At 48.9% G+C, this 21,924-nt stretch overlaps 5 annotated features.

Annotated features, from left to right (window-relative positions):
• Positions 1,164 to 1,364: a silencer, noted in NCBI's record as "peak2388 fragment used in MPRA reporter construct". NCBI's record gives its function as "represses an SCP1 promoter by STARR-seq MPRAs in K562 erythroleukemia cells {active_cell/tissue: K562}" and the evidence as "EXISTENCE:reporter gene assay evidence [ECO:0000049][PMID:32103011]".
• Positions 15,044 to 15,545: an enhancer, noted in NCBI's record as "H3K4me1 hESC enhancer chr15:75448835-75449336 (GRCh37/hg19 assembly coordinates)". NCBI's record gives its function as "activates a minimal SCP1, AML or CMV promoter by ChIP-STARR-seq in primed H9 embryonic stem cells {active_cell/tissue: H9 hESC(primed)}" and the evidence as "EXISTENCE:reporter gene assay evidence [ECO:0000049][PMID:30033119]".
• Positions 15,546 to 16,045: an enhancer, noted in NCBI's record as "H3K4me1 hESC enhancer chr15:75449337-75449836 (GRCh37/hg19 assembly coordinates)". NCBI's record gives its function as "activates a minimal SCP1, AML or CMV promoter by ChIP-STARR-seq in primed H9 embryonic stem cells {active_cell/tissue: H9 hESC(primed)}" and the evidence as "EXISTENCE:reporter gene assay evidence [ECO:0000049][PMID:30033119]".
• Positions 16,751 to 17,251: an enhancer, noted in NCBI's record as "H3K4me1 hESC enhancer chr15:75450542-75451042 (GRCh37/hg19 assembly coordinates)". NCBI's record gives its function as "activates a minimal SCP1, AML or CMV promoter by ChIP-STARR-seq in naive H9 embryonic stem cells {active_cell/tissue: H9 hESC(naive)}" and the evidence as "EXISTENCE:reporter gene assay evidence [ECO:0000049][PMID:30033119]".
• Positions 17,252 to 17,752: an enhancer, noted in NCBI's record as "H3K4me1 hESC enhancer chr15:75451043-75451543 (GRCh37/hg19 assembly coordinates)". NCBI's record gives its function as "activates a minimal SCP1, AML or CMV promoter by ChIP-STARR-seq in naive and primed H9 embryonic stem cells {active_cell/tissue: H9 hESC(naive and primed)}" and the evidence as "EXISTENCE:reporter gene assay evidence [ECO:0000049][PMID:30033119]".

Here is a 21,924-nt window from a genome sequence, read left to right on the forward strand (position 1 = left end):
GGGGCTGAGAGTGGTGGCTCATGCCTGTAATCCCAGCATCTTGGGAGGCCGAGGCAGGTGGATTACCTGAGGGCAGGAGTTTGAGACCAGCCTGGCCAACATGGTGAAACCCCGTCGCTACTAAAAATGCAAAAAAATTATCTGGGCATGGTGGCAGTGCTTGTAATCCCAGCCACTCCAGAGGCTGAGGCAGGAGAATCACTTGAACCCGAGAGGTGGAGGTTGCAGTGAGCTGAGGTCACGCCATTGCACTCCAGCCTGGGCAACAAGAGCGAAACTCTGTCTTGAAAAATAAATAAATAAAATAAACTTGGGGAAACCAACATAGACTTGTCACTTTACCTTTATATGTTTGTTTGCCAACTACAATACAAAAAGCAACTTATGGCCGGGCACGGTGGCTCACGCCTGTAATCCCAGCACTTTGGGAGGCTGAGGCGGGTGGATCATAAGGTCAGGAGATCGAGACCATCCTGGCTAACAAGGTGAAACCCCGTCTCTACTAAAAATACAAAAAATTAGCCGGGCGCGGTGGCGGGCGCCTGTAGTCCCAGCTACTGGGGAGGCTGAGGCAGGAGAATGGCGTGAACCCGGGAAGCGGAGCTTGCAGTGAGCCGAGATTGCGCCACTGCAGTCCGCAGTCCGGCCTGGGCGACAGAGCGAGACTCCGTCTCAAAAAAAAAAAAAAAAAAAAAAGCAACTTATATTGCTTAAAAAGAAAGAGGATGTTTTAACTCCCAGTGAATAGGAAGAAGCCCTTTGACCCTGAAGTCCTGTGAAGGGAAACAGGCTTAGAAAAGTTGGCCCTCCTCAGGAGATTGCCAAGTAGTTTAAGGTTTGGGGGAAATTAAACTCTTCCCAGTTTGGGGGATGCATCTGAGGGGAGTATCCTGGGGCATAGTGATGCAATTACCCGTCAGTGAAAAGAAGACAAAGGAGGAAAAAAGGAAACAGCTCTTTTTTTCTTTCTCCAGAGTCTGAGGCTCAAAGGAATTCCAGTGATTTAGGATGCACTCGTGAGGAGTGCAGGCGGAAAATGATTGGTTACCCATCTGGAAAGGGGAAAAACATGTCCCTTTGTTCCTTTCTCTTTCCAGTGAATACCCAGGGTACATAAGGAAGATAAAAAAAGGCATCCCTTTCTTTCTTCTGATCTTATATCCCCAAGTTGCAGAAACTTTGCAGGTGCCACCCATGGGTGCAAGTGTGACCTTCACCCATGTAGCAGGGAGGCCTAATGGGTAGGGATATTCGCACTTACCTATGTGCCACCCTATCCTCCTGCTGTTGGTAACCTTTGGGTTCCCTATACCTTCTCTATGCCATGGATGTGAGCATGACTTCCATCCATGAAGCAGGAGGGCCTAGTTGGCAGGAATTAGTCATGCTCACCTGCGCTGTGCCTCCTTCCTGAGGTCAAGCTTCTCCGCCCTGCAGAACATAATTTGGCCACAGCTTTGTGCAAAGGAATATGAGATGTCTTTTCTGTGTCTCATGGTGCTTGGCACTACATTGGCAACCAAGGAAATGACAGGGACATTTTTGCCATGAATTTACTTGCAGATACCAAGGCACACTTTACCTCATCTGTGCTACTCTTAACCTTCCAGTTTATACTTTTGATGATTAAGCCAAATGCTCATTCTACCCAGTAATATCTGTGGTTTGCAACAACATCCTTAACATTTAACACTGTATATAAAGAAGAGATAGGAACCATGAGAGCCATGAAAGAAAGAAAGAAAAGAACAATAGGAAAGACTGGAGGTCCTAGGGCCGACACCCTTATGGGCAGTTGGGGCCTGGAGTTAGTCAAGGAGCCTTTGGATAACACCAAGATGTGGCCTTGGTGAGATACCCTCAGTTGCCCCAGGACCTCCTTCTGGTCCCATGCGATGGCTAGACCTCCATGAAGGGAAACTAGATTGGAACAAAGCCAACATTCCCAACACCCGAAGGTGATGGGGGATTGACATTGTCCTCCCCAGCAAGCCTGTCCTCCATTTCTTAAGTCTGGCAGCTGTGCTAGTTGCTTTTAATTGGCTGACAGAGGCCTGGTATTTTTTCTTTCATTTTGGCTACTGTGGAGTCTGAAAAAAGGACAGAATGAGCAGATCCAGCCAGGCACAGCAGCTCATGCCTGTAATCCCAGCACTTTGGGAGGTCAAGGCAGGCAAATCACTTGAGGTCTGAAGTTCGAGACCAGCCTGGCCAACATGGTGAAACCCCACCTCTACTAAAAATACAAAAATTATTCTAGGTGTTATGGCACATGCCTGTAATTCCAGCTACTTGGGAGGCTGAGGCAGGACAATCACTTGAACCTGGAAGATGGAGGCTGCAGTGAGCCAAGATCACACCACTGCACTCCAGCTTGGGTGACAGAGTGAGACTCCATCTCAAAAAAAAAAAGAAAAAAGTAAGAAAGAAAAGATCCACTTTTATTCACCCTTCCACAGATCCTGGATGAGCCCCCAAAATGTTACAGGATCCTTGGGGTGTCACTTTGCCAGCTGGAAACCTCTGTGGCCAGTGGCACCTTTGCCCGAGTTTTTCTCTGGCCTGCTGGGCTCATTCTGCCCACTCACACTGGCAGGCTGCTCTTGGCTCACGCTACCGGCCTGGATCCCACACCTGCCAGGGGTGAGCCAGGCGTAGTGTAGTGAGGGGTATGTGAGCGAGCATGGGCTCCAACCACTGTGCACAGCCAGGCACTCTGGCTGCAGCAGGGTGAGCAGCTCCAGGTGCTGGCATGGGCAATGGCTTCCTGCAAGGCTGCAGCTGGACCAGGCATACCATAAGTAGCTACCACAGTTGATGCTGGGGAATGTTATGGTGCCCAGAAGCTTGGAGATGCCAGGAACCACAGAGCCCTAAAGGGTGTCACGGCCCTGGTTTGGGGAGCTCCTAGGTCTAGGCTCCCTGAAGGGCTGTAGCTCTTCTCTCCTTCTCTCTTCTCTCCTTCTTGTCATGTACAACATGGTGAGCAAGGGGCATGTTTCAGCCCTGTTTGTGTTGTAGCTCTTTTAGCCCTGTCATTTGGCAGGTCCCAAGTTCTTGTCCTGCATCCAGGAAGAATGAGGTATGCAGACAAGCGAAGGGTGAGCAAGATGAAGAGAAGCTTTATTGAGTGACAGAACAGCTTAGAGGAGACCTGAAATAGGTAGCTCCTTTCTGTAGCCAGGGTGTCCCAATGAGTGTTCAGCTCTCAGGAGAGACGGTAGCTCCTCTCTGCAGCTGGTCATCATGTTGTCTCTTCAGCTCTCAGCAGAGAGGGTAGCTCCTCTCTGCAGCTGGTTGTCCCATCATCTTCTCAAGTCTGGCTGAGTCCAGGGCTTTTATGGGCCTCAGAGGGGAGGAAGCGCATGTCAGTTGGTCCATGGGAAACCATGTGCAGCCCCAGAAAAAGCATCACAAGTTCCCACTCTGGTTTGTGGGACCAGCAGTGTAGTCCCCAGCTACAGGCCCTCGCCAGCTTCAAGGTGAGGCTTCACTGGGGAACTTTTCCTTTCTGCCCAGGAGCCTGTCTCCTGCCTCTGTTCATGATGTCCAGGCTGTTCATACCAAAGGGCACCTGGAGGCCAGTGCCAAGCTGCCCTCAGCACCCCCTTGGCCTCCCTCTGGTGCTTGCTGGTGCCCAAAGTCAGGAGGGGGCTAAGGTGGCAGGGGGCTGGCGTGTTAACACTGCCCTGAGTGTACACACACATGGCTGGGTTGCGACAGTGCCCAGGCTTGGCCCCAACCTTGCTCTGAGATCGGAGCAGTTGCCAGGAGTTGACAGAGATCAGGCAGTGAGATAAGACACCTCAGAGCCTGCAGGGGGAAGGGGGTGGCCTTCCTAGGGCTCCAAAAGTGCAGAGAGGCCTGGGTCCACAGCTGCAGCTGAGTGGCTGCAGCTGCTCCTTGGGAGGGTGGGGCTTCTACCTGCTCCCAGCCCCCAAAAGCACAGGGAGGCCTGGGTCCACAGCTGTGACTTGGGTGGCCACAGCCACGCCCAGGAATGCCAGGCCCCTGTCTGCTCCTGGCTCTCACTGGCTCCTTGGAGTGTGGCACTGGCCTGGGCCCAGCTCCATATCAGGGCCCCTTTCTGCCCACCCCTCCATGCTCAATTACACTGCTCCCCCGTCAGTGGGTGACTCAGCCCAGCCTCATCACAGTGGCTCCCAGGGCAGTGGACTCTAGGGGGCTCCCAGGGACAGGCTCCAGGGAGTGCCTGCCTGCCTCCTGTCTGCATTTTCCCTGCAGCAGTCATGGGCAAGGTGCAGGTGGTGCTGTAGCCCCAGTCAACCCCACACAAACAAACCAAATGCTCTTGGGGCTGGCCCCAAGAGTCCCCAACTGTGCCCTTGGCCAGGCGTGCAAGATTGTGACCACGGTGGAGACTCTGGGTCTGGGAGCAGGTTCTGCCCAGCCATGAGAGGATGGGGGTGGTGCAGCTGACTGCCTCAGGGATGCAGGGCACAGGGGACATGGGGCACAGGAGTCCCACTACTGCCACTGCTGCTCCCACAGCTGCTCCTGCCACCACCGCCCATGCCTCCCTACTGCAGCCAGTGTGATGGCAGCAGCCACTTTAGACGGCCCCCTGCTGCCATCAAAAGCAGAGGCCAGGCACCGTGGCTCATGCCTGTAATCCCAGCACTTTGGGAGGCTGAGGCAGGCAAATCATGAGGTCAGCAGTTCAAGACCAGCATGGCCAACATGGTGAAACCCCATCTCTACTAAAAATACAAAAAATTAGCTGGGTGTAGTGGCAGGAGCCTGTAATTCCAGCTATTCGGGAGGCTGAGGCAGGAGAATCGCTTGAACCCTGGAGGCGGAGGTTGCAGTGAGCTGAGATCGTGCCACTACACTCCAGGCCAGGCAACAGAGCCAGACTCCATCTCAAAAAAAAAAAAAAAAAAAAAAGCACAGCAGAATTTTTTAAGAACATTGTTCTGTTCTAAAAAAAATTGTAAAGGGTTATAAAAGGTTTATAAGAATCTTACCTTGGCTGGGCACGGTGGCTCACGCCTGCAATCCCATCACTTTGGGAGGCCGAGGTGGGTGGATCACGAGGTCAGGAAATCGAGTCCATCCTGGCGAACATGGTGAAACCCCGTCTCTACTAAAAAATACAAAATAAATTAGCCAGGCATGGTAACGGGTGCCTGTAGTCCCAGCTACTCGGGAGGCTGAGGCAGGAGAATGGTGTGAACCTGGGAGGCAGAGCTTGCAGTGAGCCAAGATCACGCCACTGCACTCCAGCCTGGGTGACAGAGTGAGACTCTGTCTCAAAAAAAAAAAAAAAAAAAAAAGAATCTTACCTTATGGTCAAGCTAATTAAAACTGGATACACTTATAGAATTTTATTAAAAACTAGCTTTAGCATTAAAGATGCACTAATGCATACATGAAATTTAGTTTTTTTTTTTGTTTGAAAAAGATTTTTATGTAACATTAAGAGACAATGAAAGATTTTTGTTTGTCTTTTAAGTGAACTACAAAAAGCACTGGTGGGAGGGGAGAGAGAAGAGACAGAGTCAGTTGGCCTCATGTCTTCATTGGGTATTGTTTATAAAGCTGAATCTCCTCTCTATCAGAATAAAGATTTTTCCTTAAAAAAACCAAAAAAACAAAAAAGAAACTTTTTTTGAGATGAAGTCTTGCTCTGTCACCCAGGCTGGAGTGCAGTGGCACAATCTTGGCTCACTACAACCTCTGCCTCCTGGGTTCAAGAGATTCCCCTGCCTTAGCCTCCCTAGTATCTGGGATTACAGGCCCATGCCACCATGCCCAGCTAATTTTTGTATTAGTAGAGACAGGGTTTTGGCATGTTGGCCAGGCTGGTCTTGAATTCCTGATCTCAAGAGATCTACCCACCTTGGCCTTCCAAAGTGCTGGGATTACAGGGTGAGCCACAGTACCCAGGCTAAAAAATTTTTGAGTTATTATTTTGGTTAAATGAATGACTTATGGTAACCTAGGATTCTATTTTGTAATATCCAATGTTTTAAGCCTTTGATATTTAACAAACCTTTCAAAATCAAGCTCTAAGTTAAAAAGAGAAAAAAATTAGGTGCCCTGAAGTCCAAAAAGACATATTCAGCTTATTTAATGTATTAATACCATGCAGGAAACATTGTCAAATATAAAATGGTGTTTAACTTTCTTTGGGTTATATTTATATAAATTTGTTTTTAGTATGTGTTGCAAAATTGTATAGGGTTCCTGTAATTCTGATATGCTACAGTATATGTTATTAATAATTATAATTGTTGTGTTGAATTATTGTGTGCCACAGAGGTAACAAATTTCCTTGTCAACTGTGTCTTTGACTGTGGCTTCCCTAAATGCTTTTGTCATCCACAGTCAATTGCTGTCTTTCCTTGGTCCTCTTTAGAAAGTGGTTTTATAATCAGCTATTAAATGTTGACAGGTGCTCTTGAATGAAAGTTTCTGATAACTATGGAGATTATTATTATTATTATTATTATTATTTGAGACGGAGTTTTGCTCTTTTTGCCCTGGCTGGAGTGCAGTGGCGCGATTTTGGCTCACTGCAACCTCCGCCTCCTGAGTTCAAGGGATTCTCCTGCCTTAACCTCCTGAGTAGCTTGAGATTACAGGCGCCCACCACCATGTCTGGCTAATTTTTTGTATTTTTAGTAGAAATGGGGTTTCAACATGTTGGCCAGGCTGGTCTCGAACTCCTGACCTCAGGTGATCCATCCGCCTTGGCCTCCTAAAGTGCAGGGATTACAGGCATTACCCACTGTGCCCAGTCACTATAGAGATTATTACATTACAATAAAGAAAAAAACTTTCAGGACTCTCATGGAGAGCTGAAATGTTCATGAATATCAAGCAGAACAGGAGTTAACTGAATAGACTCAACCAATAGAAAATTAAAGCAATTTTTTTTTTTTTTGCTTAAAAGATTGCTGATCCTTTTTGTTTCTCAGAGTTAAGAAAACTTTTCTTTTGAGCTATTTTCAGCTTTTAACAATTGAGTAAAGTATATTCCTGTGAACAAAATTTGAAGCATATTTGTTTCTCTTTACCCGATTTCTCCAGATTTTGGAAACTATTTGTGAGTATTCTTAACTTAATGGCAATATAGTTATTTGCATAAGTACAATAAGAATGTTTTCTTTTGCAACAGGACACAGTTGGAGAAACTGGTTATTTTACCAAAACTTTGACTGGAATGACGTGCTTTCCTTTAAGGAATTAAACTTGACTTATAGAGCCAATAAAATCCCCTTGGGAAAACTGGCCTCATACCTTGTCTACACAGTCCCTGTACAGGGTTCCTGATTTGTGATAAGTAAAGAATGTCACTTTCTGAGAGTCCCAGGAGCCCCGAGTTATCTTGGGACCTCAAGAGGAGAGGAATTTACCCAACTCATAGGCATTTGAGGGTACAAACCCATGGCTGGTCTCAGCTTTAAAAAAGTCTTATCTGAGATTCTTTTGGAACACAGTTCCTTCAAAGCCAATTTTTTAAAATTTATTTTTATTTATTAATTATTTTGAGGTGGAGTTTTGCGCTTGTCACCCAGGCTGGAGTGCAATGGCACAATCTCAGGTCACTGCAACCTCTACCTCCCAGGTTCAAACGATTCTCCTGCTTTAGCCTCCTGAGTAGCTGGGATTCCAGGTTCCTGCCACCACGCCTGCAAAGCCAATTTTAAAAGCCTATGTGAGGCCAGGCACAGTGGCTCATGCCTGTAATCCTAATCCCAGCACTTTGGGAGGCCGAGGTGGGTGGATCACGAGGTCAGGAGTTTGAGACCAGCCTGGCCAACATGGTGAAACCCCGTCTCTATTAAAAATACAAAAAAATTAGCTGGGCATGGTGGTGGGCACCTGTAATCCCAGCTACTTGGGAGGCCTAGGCAAGGAGAATCACTTGAACCTGGGAGGCAGAGGTTGCAGTGAGCCGAGACCGCACCATTGCACTCCAGCCTGGGAGACAGTGTGAGACTCTGTCTCAAAAAAAAAAAAAAAAAAAGCCTGATGTGAAAAATAATTATTCTTGCTGTGCCTTATGCAAATAATCAGACCAAGTATAATACAACTAAAGTTTATTTTCCAAACAAATCAGTCCTATTATAATTTGTTTTTAATAAAAATAAGGACTGCAGAGAGAAAAATTATGTTCCAAAAACTACAGTATACTTATTGTTAGTTGTTTTTGAGTTTTTATTTGTATTTTTCTTCAATTTAGACTAAATCCTGAATGTTTTTTGGACTACAAGTCCCCAAACTAATGCTTTCAAATCTTTACTTCTAAAACGGGGAATTGCACTCCTTATCCTAGAACTCATTATTTGCCTTATAGTACACTGTCAATTTAAATGCTGTACTGAAACTATAGATGATGAAGCCACCATGGCAAAATTATAACTGAGACAGTGAAAGAGATCTGAGCTAACCAAGTCCATCTTGCTTCTAACCTCCAAGCTGTCCTTATTCATTCATGGGCGTAGGCTGAACTGACTTTGGGAAGAATTTGGTTTATAGTTTATAGTTTAAAACAAAGATGATGACAGACTTTTCCAAAGGGAAATCCCTTTCTTGCCTGGGGACCAGACTGCCTTTGTAGGACTAACAAATTAGCCACAAGATTAGAAATTATGGTTTAGGAGTCATGCTGCTGGAGGCTATAAGATTCTGACCCTCCCTAAACTGCTCCTAAGATCGGTGCTTGAGATATTTTACAGACCTAGGACTTGATGATCAGCTGGCACCACCCACATCCATAAACTGGCTCATCTGATCTTGTGGTCCCCACCCAGGAACTGACTCAGTGCAACAACTGTCTCTGACCTGACCAATCAGCACCCCAGTGCTGGCTCATTGGCTTCTCCCCACCCACCAAGTTGTCCTTAAAAACTCTGATCCTGGAATGCTCTGGGAGACTGATTTAAGTAATAAAACTTCAGTCTCCTACACAGCTCACTCTGTGTGAATTACTCTTTCTCTATTGCAATTCCCCTGTTTTGACAAATCAGCTCTGTCTAGGCAGTGGGCAAGGTGAACCCATTGAGAGGTTACAATGAGAATAGTAACACCTTTGTCATGAAAGCCCCAGAACCCCAGCTCAGTATGCTGAGTATGTGGGAGTATGCTCAGACAGCTCAGACAGCTGCAAAGCAGTTCCATTCCTCTCACCTTGGGGTCAACACCTACCCGTTCCATGCCCCCTGTCAGCAGGAAGAATCCAGAGCGATTGACAACCTTTTCCCATCTTCATAGCCCACACCTTAAGAATAAGATACTATGAAACCAAAAGGGGGGGATTGAAACTGCCTTTGCAAAAATTATAACTGAGGAAATTATGACAGCAAAAGAGATCAGACCTAACTGACTCTATCTTGCTTCTAACCTTTAAGCTGTCCTGGTTCATTCCTGAGTATAGGCTGAACTAACTTTGGGAAGGAATTCAGTTCATGGCTTGACTCTGAAACAAAATTGGTAACAGCCCTTTCCCGAAAAGACCCCCTTCTTGCCTGGGGACCAGTCTGCCTTTGCAGGACTAACAATTAGCTACAAGATTAGAAATTATGGTTTAAAGATGGGTGCAGTGGCTCACTTCTGTAATCCCAGCACTTTGGGAGGCTGAGGCAGGTGGATCACTTGAGGTCAGGAGTTCAAGACCAGCCTGGCCAACATGGTGAAACCCCATCTCTACTAAAAGTACAAAAATCAGCTGGGTGTAGTGGTACACATCAATAGTCCCAGCTACCCTGGAGGCTGAGGCAGGAGAATCACTTGAACCCAGGAGGTGGAGGTTGAAGTGAGCTGAGATTGTGTCATTGCACTCCAGCCTGGGTGACAGAGGGAGGCTCTGTCTCAAAAAAAAAAAAAAAAAAAGATTGTGTTCTCTACTCCCAGCCCCACCCTCTCCCAAAAAAGGACAGCTGGCAACCTCGCATGATTCCCAAAGCCTGGGCTACACTGGCCACTGGGCAGATATTAAGACCCAGATCTGAGGAAAGGAGGTTCTTGGAATCTCACAGGGCTGCCTGGTCCTCACACGCATCAGGCTGTTTGCTCACCGTGCTTCCCGTGGCACACTCACACTCACACTCATCATTCACACTCAGGTCAGGCATCTCCTCCTTCCAGCAGGGCTGGCTTCATGGGATGAGAGCTGTGAGGTCACACAGAGCCCTGTGCTCAGTAGGGCCCTGTGCTTAGTTTAATCCTCTGCTGCTGACATCTTGAAATCTGAATAAGAAGCCTTGCACTTTCGTTTTACACTGGGCCATACAAATAATGTAACATACTTCCATAACATCTTTTTCTTTTTTAAAGAATTTTATTAACCATACTATTCCTTGCAAAGCAGGGTGAATTCATAGGCAGTGTGCCCAGAGTTGGCCCATAATATCTTTCTGATGTCACCTCTCAATCTAAGTTGAATCTGGTGCCTCTCCTGGGCTCACACAGCCCCCCTGCTCACTCCCCTCCCTAACAGCCCTGATCCCTCTAAACTGTAAGCCTTTACTCACTTATCTCTCTACCCTCTAGACTGAGCTCCTTGAGGGCTGGGGCAGTCTATCTGTACAACACCATACTTAACACACAGTAAGTACTCATTAAATGTGTGCTGAAATGAACAGAAATAGGAAGGCCTGGTCCAGTTCCCTACATGATTCTGGCCAGAGCAGGGTTTAAACCCATGTCTCTTACTTTAGGGCAAAGACAACCCTTGCTACCCTCTCACTCTCCTGATCGATAGCCAAAGGCTAAAATCAACCCAGATCAAAGCCAAATATAAATTTGTTTTTCTGACCTAGGGCCCAAATTAATGCATTTTGTTTTTCTCAAAGGTACTCTGTTGTTTTCTAGAACAGTTCAAGCCAACTAATCCAAAAATCTTAACACTCAAGGGGGAGTGGGGGCCCTGCTGGGTCACAGGGGGTTCAAACTGGTTCCAGAGGAACTGGTGAGCTGTGGGCAGTCCACATTCTTATGTGTGTGGGGGGGCAGAGGTTGGGGGGTTCAGTGGGGAATGCTGAGGCTGGATTTTACAGGGGTCAGAAAAGGAAGGGAGGATATGGCTTATACTAGTTCTGCCAAATCTACCATGTAACCTCCTTACAGCCATTCATTCATTCATTCACTCACTCATTCATCCATTCAAACAGGGGATGAGGAGGGTGTGCCAAGCACCAGAAAGGAAGGGCACAGGTCTGCTTTCTAGAGCTGCAGTCTCCATGAAAGAGTTTTTGAAGGATGGAATGACCAGGCCTGGGCAAACTGACTTCTGGACAATTCTGGAGTGTGGGTACAGATGATCAGTGCTTGGCTGGTCAGAAAAGGGAAAGCCAGGAATGTGGGGGAGGTGAAAACAAAATGTTTCTATTCTCTAAATTCACAAAAGGGCAGGGAAGGGAGCGGCCAGGCTCAGTGGCTCAAGTCTGTAGTCCCAGCCTTTTGGGAGGTGGCCAAGGTTGGAGGATTGCTTGAGGACAGGAGTTCAAGACCAGCCTGGGCAACATAGCAAGACCCTGTCTCTACCAAAAATACATAAATTAGCAGGGTGTGGTGGCACATGCCTGCAGTCCCAGCTACTATACTCAGGAGGCCGAGTTGGGAGGACTGCTTGAGCCCAGGAGTTTGAGGCTGCAGTGAGCCATGATCGTGCCACTGCACTCCAGCCTGGGTGACAGAGCCAGACTCTGTCTTTTAAAAGCAAGTAAAAAGGCGGGGGGTGGGGGACTGTTTTGAGAACTAGTCTGAAGCCAGGAACAAGTCACACAGACTTATTTTCAACCTGGTCCAATCAGTCATTGATCACGTTACTTCAGTCCCCTGAGAGCCAACCAATCAGCAACAGCTTCATTCCAGGGACCATGCTTCTGAGAGCCAGCCAATCAGCAAGGGTCTTACTCCAGTGATTTGCTTCTGAAAGTCAGCCAATCCCTAACTGCCAAGACTGAAAGTCAGCCAATCTGCACACAGTCCAACTTTTGAAAATCAGCGAATTGCTGAATGCCATGCTTTCCATACCCTATATAATATCAGCTCTAGGGTTGCTTTGGATCTGGGGTTTTTGTAAGTAAAGTTAGATTTTTTTTTTTCGGTACTGCAAGTACTGAATTCAGCCTCATTGTCTCTGAAATATATCCTGGAGAAGGAGGACTTGAACTCTTACATGTCCCAGTGGCCCATACGGGGGTCTGTGGTACTGCCCCCTCCCCCCACACACCCCCATCCCAAGGCTGGGCAGGTCCCTGGGCCCCCTGGCCACAGCCACTTCACTAGCAGTTTCAGGGCCTCCTGGCCACTTCTCTAAAATCCCATCCTGTTCTTTCTCCTGTGGTTTCCTGAGAAGTAGGGAGGGAGGCTGTGGTTAAAGAGACTGGGTGGAGGGGGTTTCTCCACAAAGCCTTCCATGGGGCCCACAGGCAAGGGGGAGGGGCTCAGTCTAAGGGGGGTACACTGAGGGGAAGACACAGCCTGCTCTCCAAGTGGCAGTCTGAGAGGGACACTGATGGATGGGGGGCACATTCCAGGGCATCACGTCTGACTGGGTAACGTAGTCTGATGGGAGAGGCAGGATGCCTAAGTGTGCCCAGGAAAACAACTCTGGTGATCCAAGGCCGCAGAGGGTCAGGTCTATCTTCTGGGGCATGTACTAAGTACTGAGGTGGGTTGGGGACGAGGATGCAGAGAGTAAGTCAGAGAAGGCTTCGTGGTGGAAGTGAAGCTTAGGGCCAGAGCGCCTCCCCCAGCCATGCTGCTGGGTCAGGGCATGGAAGAGGACAACAGGGCTCACCCCTCTTTCTTCTCCCAATCCTCTCCCGCAGTGTCCCACAGGCCAAGCCTCTGATGAGGTAAACCCAAGGCTGGAGATCCTTTCAGAAGAGAGCTCCTGTGGGCTTTGGAAGAGGGGACCCGGGTTGGCCTGGAAGAAGGGTGGGATGGGCCACTGAGAGTGGCTGGAGCAATAAACAGAATGAGGTTGCTGTGAAGGTTCCGGATCCTTTGCCGGCTCTGCCCCGTCCCACCCCTTCCCAAACACCGTCTCCACCCCTCCCCTCCCCGGCAGAACCCAGTCTTCTCTGTGCAGTGGGTACAGTACCCACCCATGCCCCCTCCCATGCCCAGCAGTCTGGCTGGGGTGCTCTGTCCTTGGCCTCTCCACCCCCACCGTCATCCCCATGCAAACCTCAAAGAGGCTGACTTGGCGTAGCATTTGCCTGCACTTACCTGTGGCTCTTCTGTTTGGAGCCAGCCAGAAACTCCTGAGTTTGGTTCCAAGGTGCTCTACCCCTCCTGCCTGCGGGAGGACTAGGTTCCTCAATCCTTCTCCTGAGGTCAGGCTGGGACTAGAGTGAGGCAAGCAAGGTGCCTAGGGCAAAATTTTAAGGAGGCTTGCCCTCCCAGGTGCACCTGAATGGCCCTGAGGGCCAGTGCCCCCTTAAATTGTGGGCCCTTAGGTGCCTCCTTGCTTTACCCACCATGCCCCCAGCCAGCCCTGACCCTGCTGGGTGTTCTGGCCTCGAGAGTCTGAAATCTTATAAAATATGCCCTAAAAGCTGGTAGTCCGGAGTCCTTGGGCTGGCCTGGGCAGCCAGGTGCCTGTCCTCCCCATCTCCTGCCCTTAGCCCTTTTGGGAGAGGAAGCCAGAAGTGCTGAAGCCTGGGGCGGCTGGGACTGCGAGATCGGTATAAGGATGGGGGACCTCCACCCTCAAGGAACTGAAAACCATGTGGAAGGAACAGAATGGTCTGCCCGCAGGGGAAACCAAGCAAACCAGGCCTTTGATTGGGACCAAAGACAGATGTGAAACCCAGGACTCTGAGCTGACCTTGACTCCACCGAGCTCTGCCCTGGGGATCACCGGGCACCTCCAAGAGAGATCTGAATGGCTCTGGGAGATGCCAGGCTGAAACAGGGGACTTAGGTCCCAGGTCTCTGATGGAAATTAGCTGTGGAAGGGGACAGGTGTGAGCACCAGGAAAGATAAGGCAGTAAGGGACCCTGCCTGTGTGTGTCAGGAGCAGGGATCTGAGAGGGGTCTCCCACATCTCCATGCCCAGGCCTCAGTACTTGGGGGGGTCCCTGGGGCAACCCTCCCCCTATCTCGGCCACTGGGGCTGGGGCCTGTGCCCTGGGTCCTCTCTGCAGGTAGCATGGTCATGCCAGAGCCCTTGGGCATCCTTTCAAAACTTACCTTGAGCCAGGAGCCTCCCTGTTGAGATCTTTGTCTAATTGGGTCTTGGGGTGTCCCTTGGAGAGGTACCATAAGCCGAGATAGCCGCTCTCTAAGGGGCGAGGGGAGTTAGGGTTGGGCGTGTGTCAGGTGAGACACATGGAATAACAGGAGCCTTTCATTACTCACAGATCCATGAGAGAAGCCAGCGCCGATGAGGGCCAACAGGAATCCCGGAGACAGCAGGGTGTTCAAGTAGCAGGTAGAGAGTGAGAGAGAGAGGGGACCTGTGGGACCAAGGCCTTTATGGGGTCCAGGGCGTCACCCAGGCAGGTTTCCTGAGGGGAGTAATAATTGGGTTTAGGCCAGGTGCCGGTGGCTCACGCCTGTACTTTGGGAGGCCGAGGCGGGTGGATCACGAGGTCAAGAGATTGAGACCATCCTGGAAAACATTGTGAAACCCCGTCTCTACTAAAAATACAAAAATTAGCTGGGCGTGGTGGTGCGCACCTGTAGTCCCAGCTACTCAGGAGGCTGAGGCAGGAGAATGGCTTGAACCCGGGAGGCGGAGCTTGCAGTGAGCCAGGATTGCGCCACTGCACTCCAGCCTGGGTGACAGAGCGAGACTCCATCTCAAAAATAAATAAATAAAATAAAATAAAATAAAATAAAATAAAATAAAATAATTGGTGAGTTTAGAGCAAGCAGGGTCACGCTATGGCTGAGAGAGGGTCACTGGCCTATCTGCAACAGTCCATGCGGGCTGTGGGGTCAGCGGGACCAGTCAAGTGGGCTGTATGTAGCTGTCCCACAGGGAGGCAGTCACCGGGAGATGACTGTCTAAGGTAGATATCTGGATTGAGCACATAGAGGAACTGGGAGGAAGCAGGGAGCTGGAAACAGTGTCAAGGTTGACTGAGCCCTGCTTCTAATGTAAGAAAGTCCAGATTATATTCAAAACGGATGCCAGGGCAACATTAAAGTACAGGAATTCACTACACTCCCTCTGTGCCTGGGTCACTGTTTATGGTCCTCAGGAGGGGGGGCCCTGCTCATTGGCCTCTTCTGGTACTCGGGTGGGGTTGGGGTGGTCTGTAGCCCCATGAGGGCAGGATGGGGGCAAACCAAGTGTAGGGCGAGCATCCCCCTATGTCTTGGGAGGTACTGAGCTAGAGCTACAATGTGTGGATGGGGGGTGCTCCCCAATTAGTCTAGGCTGCGCCTTCTGCATTCCATTCTCTGCATGTCTGGAAGGCCTGAGCTCATGGGACAGACCCCACCCTGGCACCTGGTGGGCGGGGCATTGCTTTCAAGAGGTCACCTTTGTTTGGGAAAGGAAAAAACAAAGACGACATAGCTGGCTGGCGATTCTGAGTCTCACCTCCCAGGGTGTGGAGTGAGCCCAAACTCCTTGCCTCCCACATCTCCCCTGCCACCTTTCCCAGGGCCGGGAAACCCCCAGGAGGATCGAGACTCAGCTTCCACCCAACCCCTAGAAGACCTCTAATGGTCAGGCCTCCAGCCTTGGCTTGCATCCCTCCAGTGATGGGTAGCTCACTGCCCCCCAGAGAGTATTAGGTCATTAAAACAAAAACAAAAACAAAAACAGATTTTGGAGGTGGAACTGAGAGGCAGTGGCCTGGGGAAGCTGGAAGGACTGGATCATGAGCCAGAATTGCTAGGGCAGACACCACACCACTGACCCCACACCTGGAACAGTGTCTGGGGCTATGTCAGCTAATGGGGTAAGGTTCCAGGGAGGCAGATTCCAGCTCAATAAGAAGGGCCAGGCCGGGTGCGGTGGCTCACACCTGTAATCCCAGCACTTTGGGAGGCCAAGGCGGGAGAATCACGAGGTCAGGAGATCAAGACCATCCTGGCTAACATGGTGAAACCCCGTCTCTACTAAAAAAAAAAAAATACAAAAAAAATTAGCTGGGCATAGTGGTGGGCGCCTGTAGTCCCAGCTACTCAGGAGTCTGAGGCAGGAGAATGGCGTGAACCCAGGAGGCAGAGCTTGCAGTGAGCCGAGATGGCGCCACTGCACTCCAGCCTGGGCAACAGAGCGAGACTCCGTCTCAAAAAACAAAAAACAAAAAAACAAAAACAAGAAGGGCCAGCCATGGTGGCTCACCCCTGTAATCCCAGCACTTTGGGAGGCCAAGGCGGCTGGATCACTTGAGCCCAGGAGTTTGAGACCAGCCTGGACAACATGGTGAAAACCCATCTCTACAAAAAATACAAAAATTAGCTGGGTATGGTGGCGCACACCTGTAGTCCCAGCTGCTTGGGAGGCTGAGGTACGAGAAGTGCTTGAACCCAGGAGGTGGAGGTTGCAGTAAGCTGAGATTACACCACTGCACTGCAGCCTGAGTGACAGAGCAAGATCCTGTCTCAAAAAATAAAAAATGAAAAGAAGAAGGACTACAGACTTCCTCTCAGCAGAGCCAGGGGCCAGTGATAAGGTGTTTTGGGGGAGCTAATGAGTTCTTTGTCACTGGAGGAGTGCAAGTAGAGAGTAGCCCATCATCAGGACTGCCAGGGCTTCCGGAAGGTCCCCAGCTAAAGGGATAGGACCCTACCTACTCTGGAAGGATGACCAGGAAATGTATCCTGTCCCCAAATCCCAGCTGGCCTGTCTGAGATGGCTGGGGGGTGGGGGATGGGGAAGTGGAGCCTGGGGGTCACCTGCGCGTCCCACTTTCAGGAATACCCGCCTCTGGGCATCAGTAGTTTGCCCTTAGCTTCTTCCTCCAGCCACATTTCCATCTCGGCTGGTCCCCTGACTCAACCCCTTCTCACAGCCAGGTGAAGGCAGGACTGGGGTCAGATGCCAACTGTGCCTAGCATTGGATTAGGACACCCCTGTCTCCCTCAGACTCTTCAGGGCTGGACGCTGCCTACCTCTAGTGCCTTTTGGACCCAGGTGGGTGAGGCGGCCCTTCTGAGGGCCGCGGCTTGCTGCTGGGGTAAAGTGGCTGATGTCTGACAATAGACCTTCCCCTCTCGCCTGACCCTCCCAGGGAGAGTGGCTTCCCAGCCAGGCTCAGGCAGGGCCAGGCTGCTTCACAGGCAGTGGGGGTGCGCTCACAGGGAAGTGGGGTTTGGCGACACTGCCCAGGGGAGGTGTTTGGGGCCAGAAGTGGATCTCTGAGCCCTAGGACCCTACAGGTCTGCCCACTCTGGGTGTGGGGCAGCAATATGCAAGTCCCCCCTGCAGTGCCCCAGCCAGTCCTCGGGCGTCCCTTCTCCCTCTCCCTCCTGCCTGATGGCCCAGGGAAGCCAGGTCTGGACAGTCCCCAAGGAGACACCTGCCTTAAACTCCCCCCCAGGAGATGTGCCTTCCTTCTCTCAGCCTCAGTTTCCCCATTTGAACCATCTTTATGAGCCTGTCTCATGTGAACTGAGGTCTGGGAGGTTATCCTGCCAGGGCTGGGAGTAGGGTTGGAGGTGGGGAGGTCTTGGAGGCCACAGAAAGAAGGAGGCCGTCTCAGCCCTGGGAACTGACATCATGCGTGTGGCCGTCAGCCACTGGCCCAAGGGTGACAGATTCTATCCTAATAGAATAGAATAAAGCCTATCTATCTGCCTTTTATTCTCACCATGTGCTGGTAATTCTGAACAATGTCAGTGATACAATACTTCTTTCTGAAAAAGTATTTTATTGGTCAAAGTTCTAAACGATTGCATGATTACTGTGGAATGTTAATAATTTATAAAATGAGCTTCAAAGTAACACCTTTATTCTTTATTAGCAGCTTATTTTTAAATAAACATTGTATGCTATGTGAAAGTCAAATCAGAGAATGATTTCCCTGTTATACAGATTGCAGACTTAGCTGCAATCCTGTATTTGTATTTCATTTGTAATTCCTAACCAGTTCCTCCTTCCTCCCTTCTTTGCTATAGTTGCTATTTTCCAAGCCCTGTGGTACATGTCCCCATGTTTAATCAGTTGATTATAAATAAACAGTGGTAGAACACTGATTGTAAAGACAAAGACACAGAACATGAGTTCCTTCAATTCTGCCACTCTATATGACAGCTTGGAGGTTTTATCTGTGTTTGGAATTGAAAACAAATAGCGGAAACCAGGAGATGTCATGTTTTTGTTTTTGTTTTTGAGATAGAGTCTCGCTCTGTTGCCCAGGCTGGAGTGCAGTGGTGCGATCTCGGCTCACTGCAACCTCCGCCTCCCAGGTTCAAGTGATTCTCCTGCCTCAGCCACCCAAGTAGCTGGGATTACAGGTGTGCGCCACTACACCTAGTTAATTTTTGTATTTTTGGTAGAGATGGTGTTTCACCATGTTGGCCAGGCTGGTCTTGAACTCCTGACCTCTAGTGATCCACTCGCCTCAGCCTCCCAAAATTCTGGGATTACAAGCGTGAGCCACCGCCCCTGGCCATGTTTTTATTTAATAAATGCAAATTTTAGTTCATTATTGTCTTAGTCTGTTCCTTCTGCTATAAGAAAATTACCTGGCTGGGTGTGGTGCCTCACGCCTGTAATCTCAGTACTTTGGGAGGCCAAGGTGGAGAATCCCTTGAACCCAGGAAGTTGAGGCTGCAGCGAGCCATGATCACACCACTGCACTCCAGCCTGGGCAACAGAGGGAGATCCTGTCTAAAAAGAGGGGGAAAAATTATCTTAGAGTAGATTATTTATTTATTTATTTTTGAGACAGAGTTTTGCTCTTGTTGCCCAGGCTGGAGTGCAATGGCCCAATCTTAGCTCACTGCAACCTCTGCCTCCTGGGTTCAAATGATTCTCCTGCCTCAGTCTCCCAAGTAGCTGGGATTACGGGCACCCTCCACCATGCCTGGCTAATTTTTTGTATTTTTAGTAGAGAGGGGTTTCACCATGTTGGCCAGGTTGGTCTCGAACTCCTGACCTCAGGTGATCCACCTGCCTCGGCCTCCCAAAATGCTGGGATTATAGGCATGAGCCACTGCTCCCGGCCTAGAGTAGATAATTTATAAACAACAAAAATGTATTGCTCACAGATCTGGAGGCTGGGAAGTCCAAGATCAAGGCACCAGAAGATTCAGTGTCTGGTGAAGCCTGCTCTCTGCTTCCAAGATGGTGCCTTCTCATTGCATCCTCACACAGCAGAAGACACGAATGCTGTGTCCTCTCATGGTGGAAAGCCAAAAGGGACAAACAGGCTCCCTCAAGCCCTTTTATAAGGGTACTAATCCCATTCATGAGAGCAGACCCTCACAACCTCATCACTTCCCAAAGCCCCCACCTCCTAACACCATTACCCTGGGGGTTAGGTTTCAACATATGAATTTTGGGAGGACACCAATATTCAGATCATAGCAATTATGAAATATATTTGTTTCATTTCATGATACTTACTGTATAATCATGTAGAGGGAAGGGTTAAAGAATGTTCCACTGTGAGAGTCAAATGTGCTATGTGTATGCTGCTGGCTTGTACAGCTCTGCAAAAGGGGACCCAGCCAGTTCCATGCCTGGGGAGACCTTGACTCCATGAGGAGGGCTGGGGAAGTGGTCAGCCTCTCTGGTCAGAGGAATGGCCTGGGCCGGACCTCCAATCCTGGGCTTCCCAGCCCAACCATAACAACTCTCCATCTCAGCTCAATTCATCTATGAATGAGGTTCTCCAGGGATAGCCTACAGCCGCCTTATTGCACTGGGTGGAGGGGCAGAGGGACGCAATAGCTTTAGGTTAGCCCTGAGCAAATGCTGATAAGGAGCAGAAGTTCCAAGGGCACCAACTTGGGCCAGGCAGGGCAGACTGGACAGTGGCTAGAAAACTGGCAGATGCCCTCCAGCCTTACTCTGCCATCCTCTATCCTACCCTGCCCTCTCCCCTGTCATGATAGAAGGGATACAAAATATACCTCTGTGGCATAAGGATTATTTTGAGTGGGTGACATTTGAGAATCAACAGATGCAGGAAGAAACTTTTTTTTTCTTTTCCTGAACTCCCTTTATCTGCCTAAAAGCTGAGCCTCCCAAAAGAATTCAAATGTCATAAATCCCCTCCCCAGAGTTTGAGAGTTTCCCAGTCAGGGAAGATGGGCTCCTTTTATGAGACTAGAAGAGAAATCACACCAAGATAAGAGATCAACTAAACCAACATTGTCACAAAACTATCATATCTCCCATCTTTTCTCCTAAGGGTCCATTTACCTTTCCTAAAAGGCGCTTGTCTTCCCAAAAGTGTCTTTTCTCTTTTTTCCTTCCCCTATTAAGATGTTACGTCAGCCTCAAATTCTAAATCACTTTTTGAGTCACATTTTCAGTGAGTTCCTTCTTTTCTATGTGAATAAATTTTGTCTTTCAGATTAGAAATTATTAGAATAAAAAAATTAGAATAAAAATTATTCTAATTATTCTAATAATTATATAATAATTATTCTAATTATTCTAATTATTCTAATTATTCTAATAATTATTATTCTAATAATGTTGTCTTTGTGCCTATTACTAGTTTATCAGTTTAATTTGCAGGCTCTGAAGCACTGAACTGAACCTATGTGGGTAGAGGAAAAGTTTTTCCTCCCAACATGATTATTTACTCACTTACTTATCTTCTTTTTTTTTTTTTTTTGAGACAGAGTCTCACTCGGTCACCCAGGCTGGAGTGCAGTGGCGCAATCTCAGGCTCATTGCAACCCCGCCTCTTGAGTTCATGTAATTCTCCTGCCTCAGCCTCCTGAGTAGCTGGGATTACAGGCGCCTGCCACTCCACCCAGCTAATTTTTGTATTTTTAGTATAAACAGGGTTTCCCCATGTTGGCCAGGCTGGTCTTGAACTCCTGACTTCAGGTGATCCACCCACCTTGGCCTCTGAAAGTGCTGGGATTATAGGGGTGAGCCAGCGTGCCCAGCCTCCCAACATGATTAGAATAAAAATAATCCTGGCCCCAGCCACGGTGGCTCACCCCTGTAATCCCAGGACACTGGGAGGCCGAGGCAGGTGGATCACAAGGTCAGGAGATCGAGACTGTCTTGGCTAACATGGTGAAACCCTGTCTCTACTAAAAAAATGCAAAAAATCTGCTGGGCGTGGTGGTGGGCACATGCAGTCCCAGCTACTGGGGAGGCTGATCGCTCCACTGCACTCCAGCCCGGGCGACAGACTGAGACTCCATCTCAAAAAGAAAAAAAATAATAATCCTAGGTAACCTTCGTTGCACATGTGCTATATGCCAGGTCCTGTTCTAAACCTTTATATATGTTATCGAATGTATTCTTCCCAACAACCCTTTGAGATGAGTGCTATTGTTACATCCACTTTATAAATGCAAAATTGAGGTGCAAAGAGGTTAAGTCACTGGCCTAAGGCACAGAGAATAGGTGATGGAACTGGAATTTGAACCTAGTGATTTCCAGAGCTTAAGCTCTAAATTTGCACGAGGCTACAGGTGTTGTGAGTCCTGCTTCTGGCTCTGCCACCACTGGCTAGGTAACCTTGGGCCTCAGTTTCCCTGTCTTCAAAGTGAGGTGGTAAGTTCCCTCTTGGCTCTGACAGTCCTCAATCACAAGACACTGGGGCTGGCAAGGAGGACACTAACTTGAGCGTGATCTGTCTACATGGTCAGCAGAGGGAATGTCATGCTACCAGACTCCATTAGCTGCTGACTGGGGGCTTTGTACTGAAGGCCTGAGACTCAAGCATTCTACCCAGCTCTGCTACTGCCTTGCTTTGGGGCTTTGGGCCAGTTGCCTGCCCCTCCTGAGTCTCAGTGCCTTTGTCTCTCATCTGCTTGGTCCTTAGTCTATGGGAGCAGAG

Source organism: Homo sapiens, chromosome 15, assembly GCF_000001405.40.
Source record: "Homo sapiens chromosome 15, GRCh38.p14 Primary Assembly".
NCBI classification, from domain to species: Eukaryota; Metazoa; Chordata; class Mammalia; order Primates; family Hominidae; genus Homo; species Homo sapiens.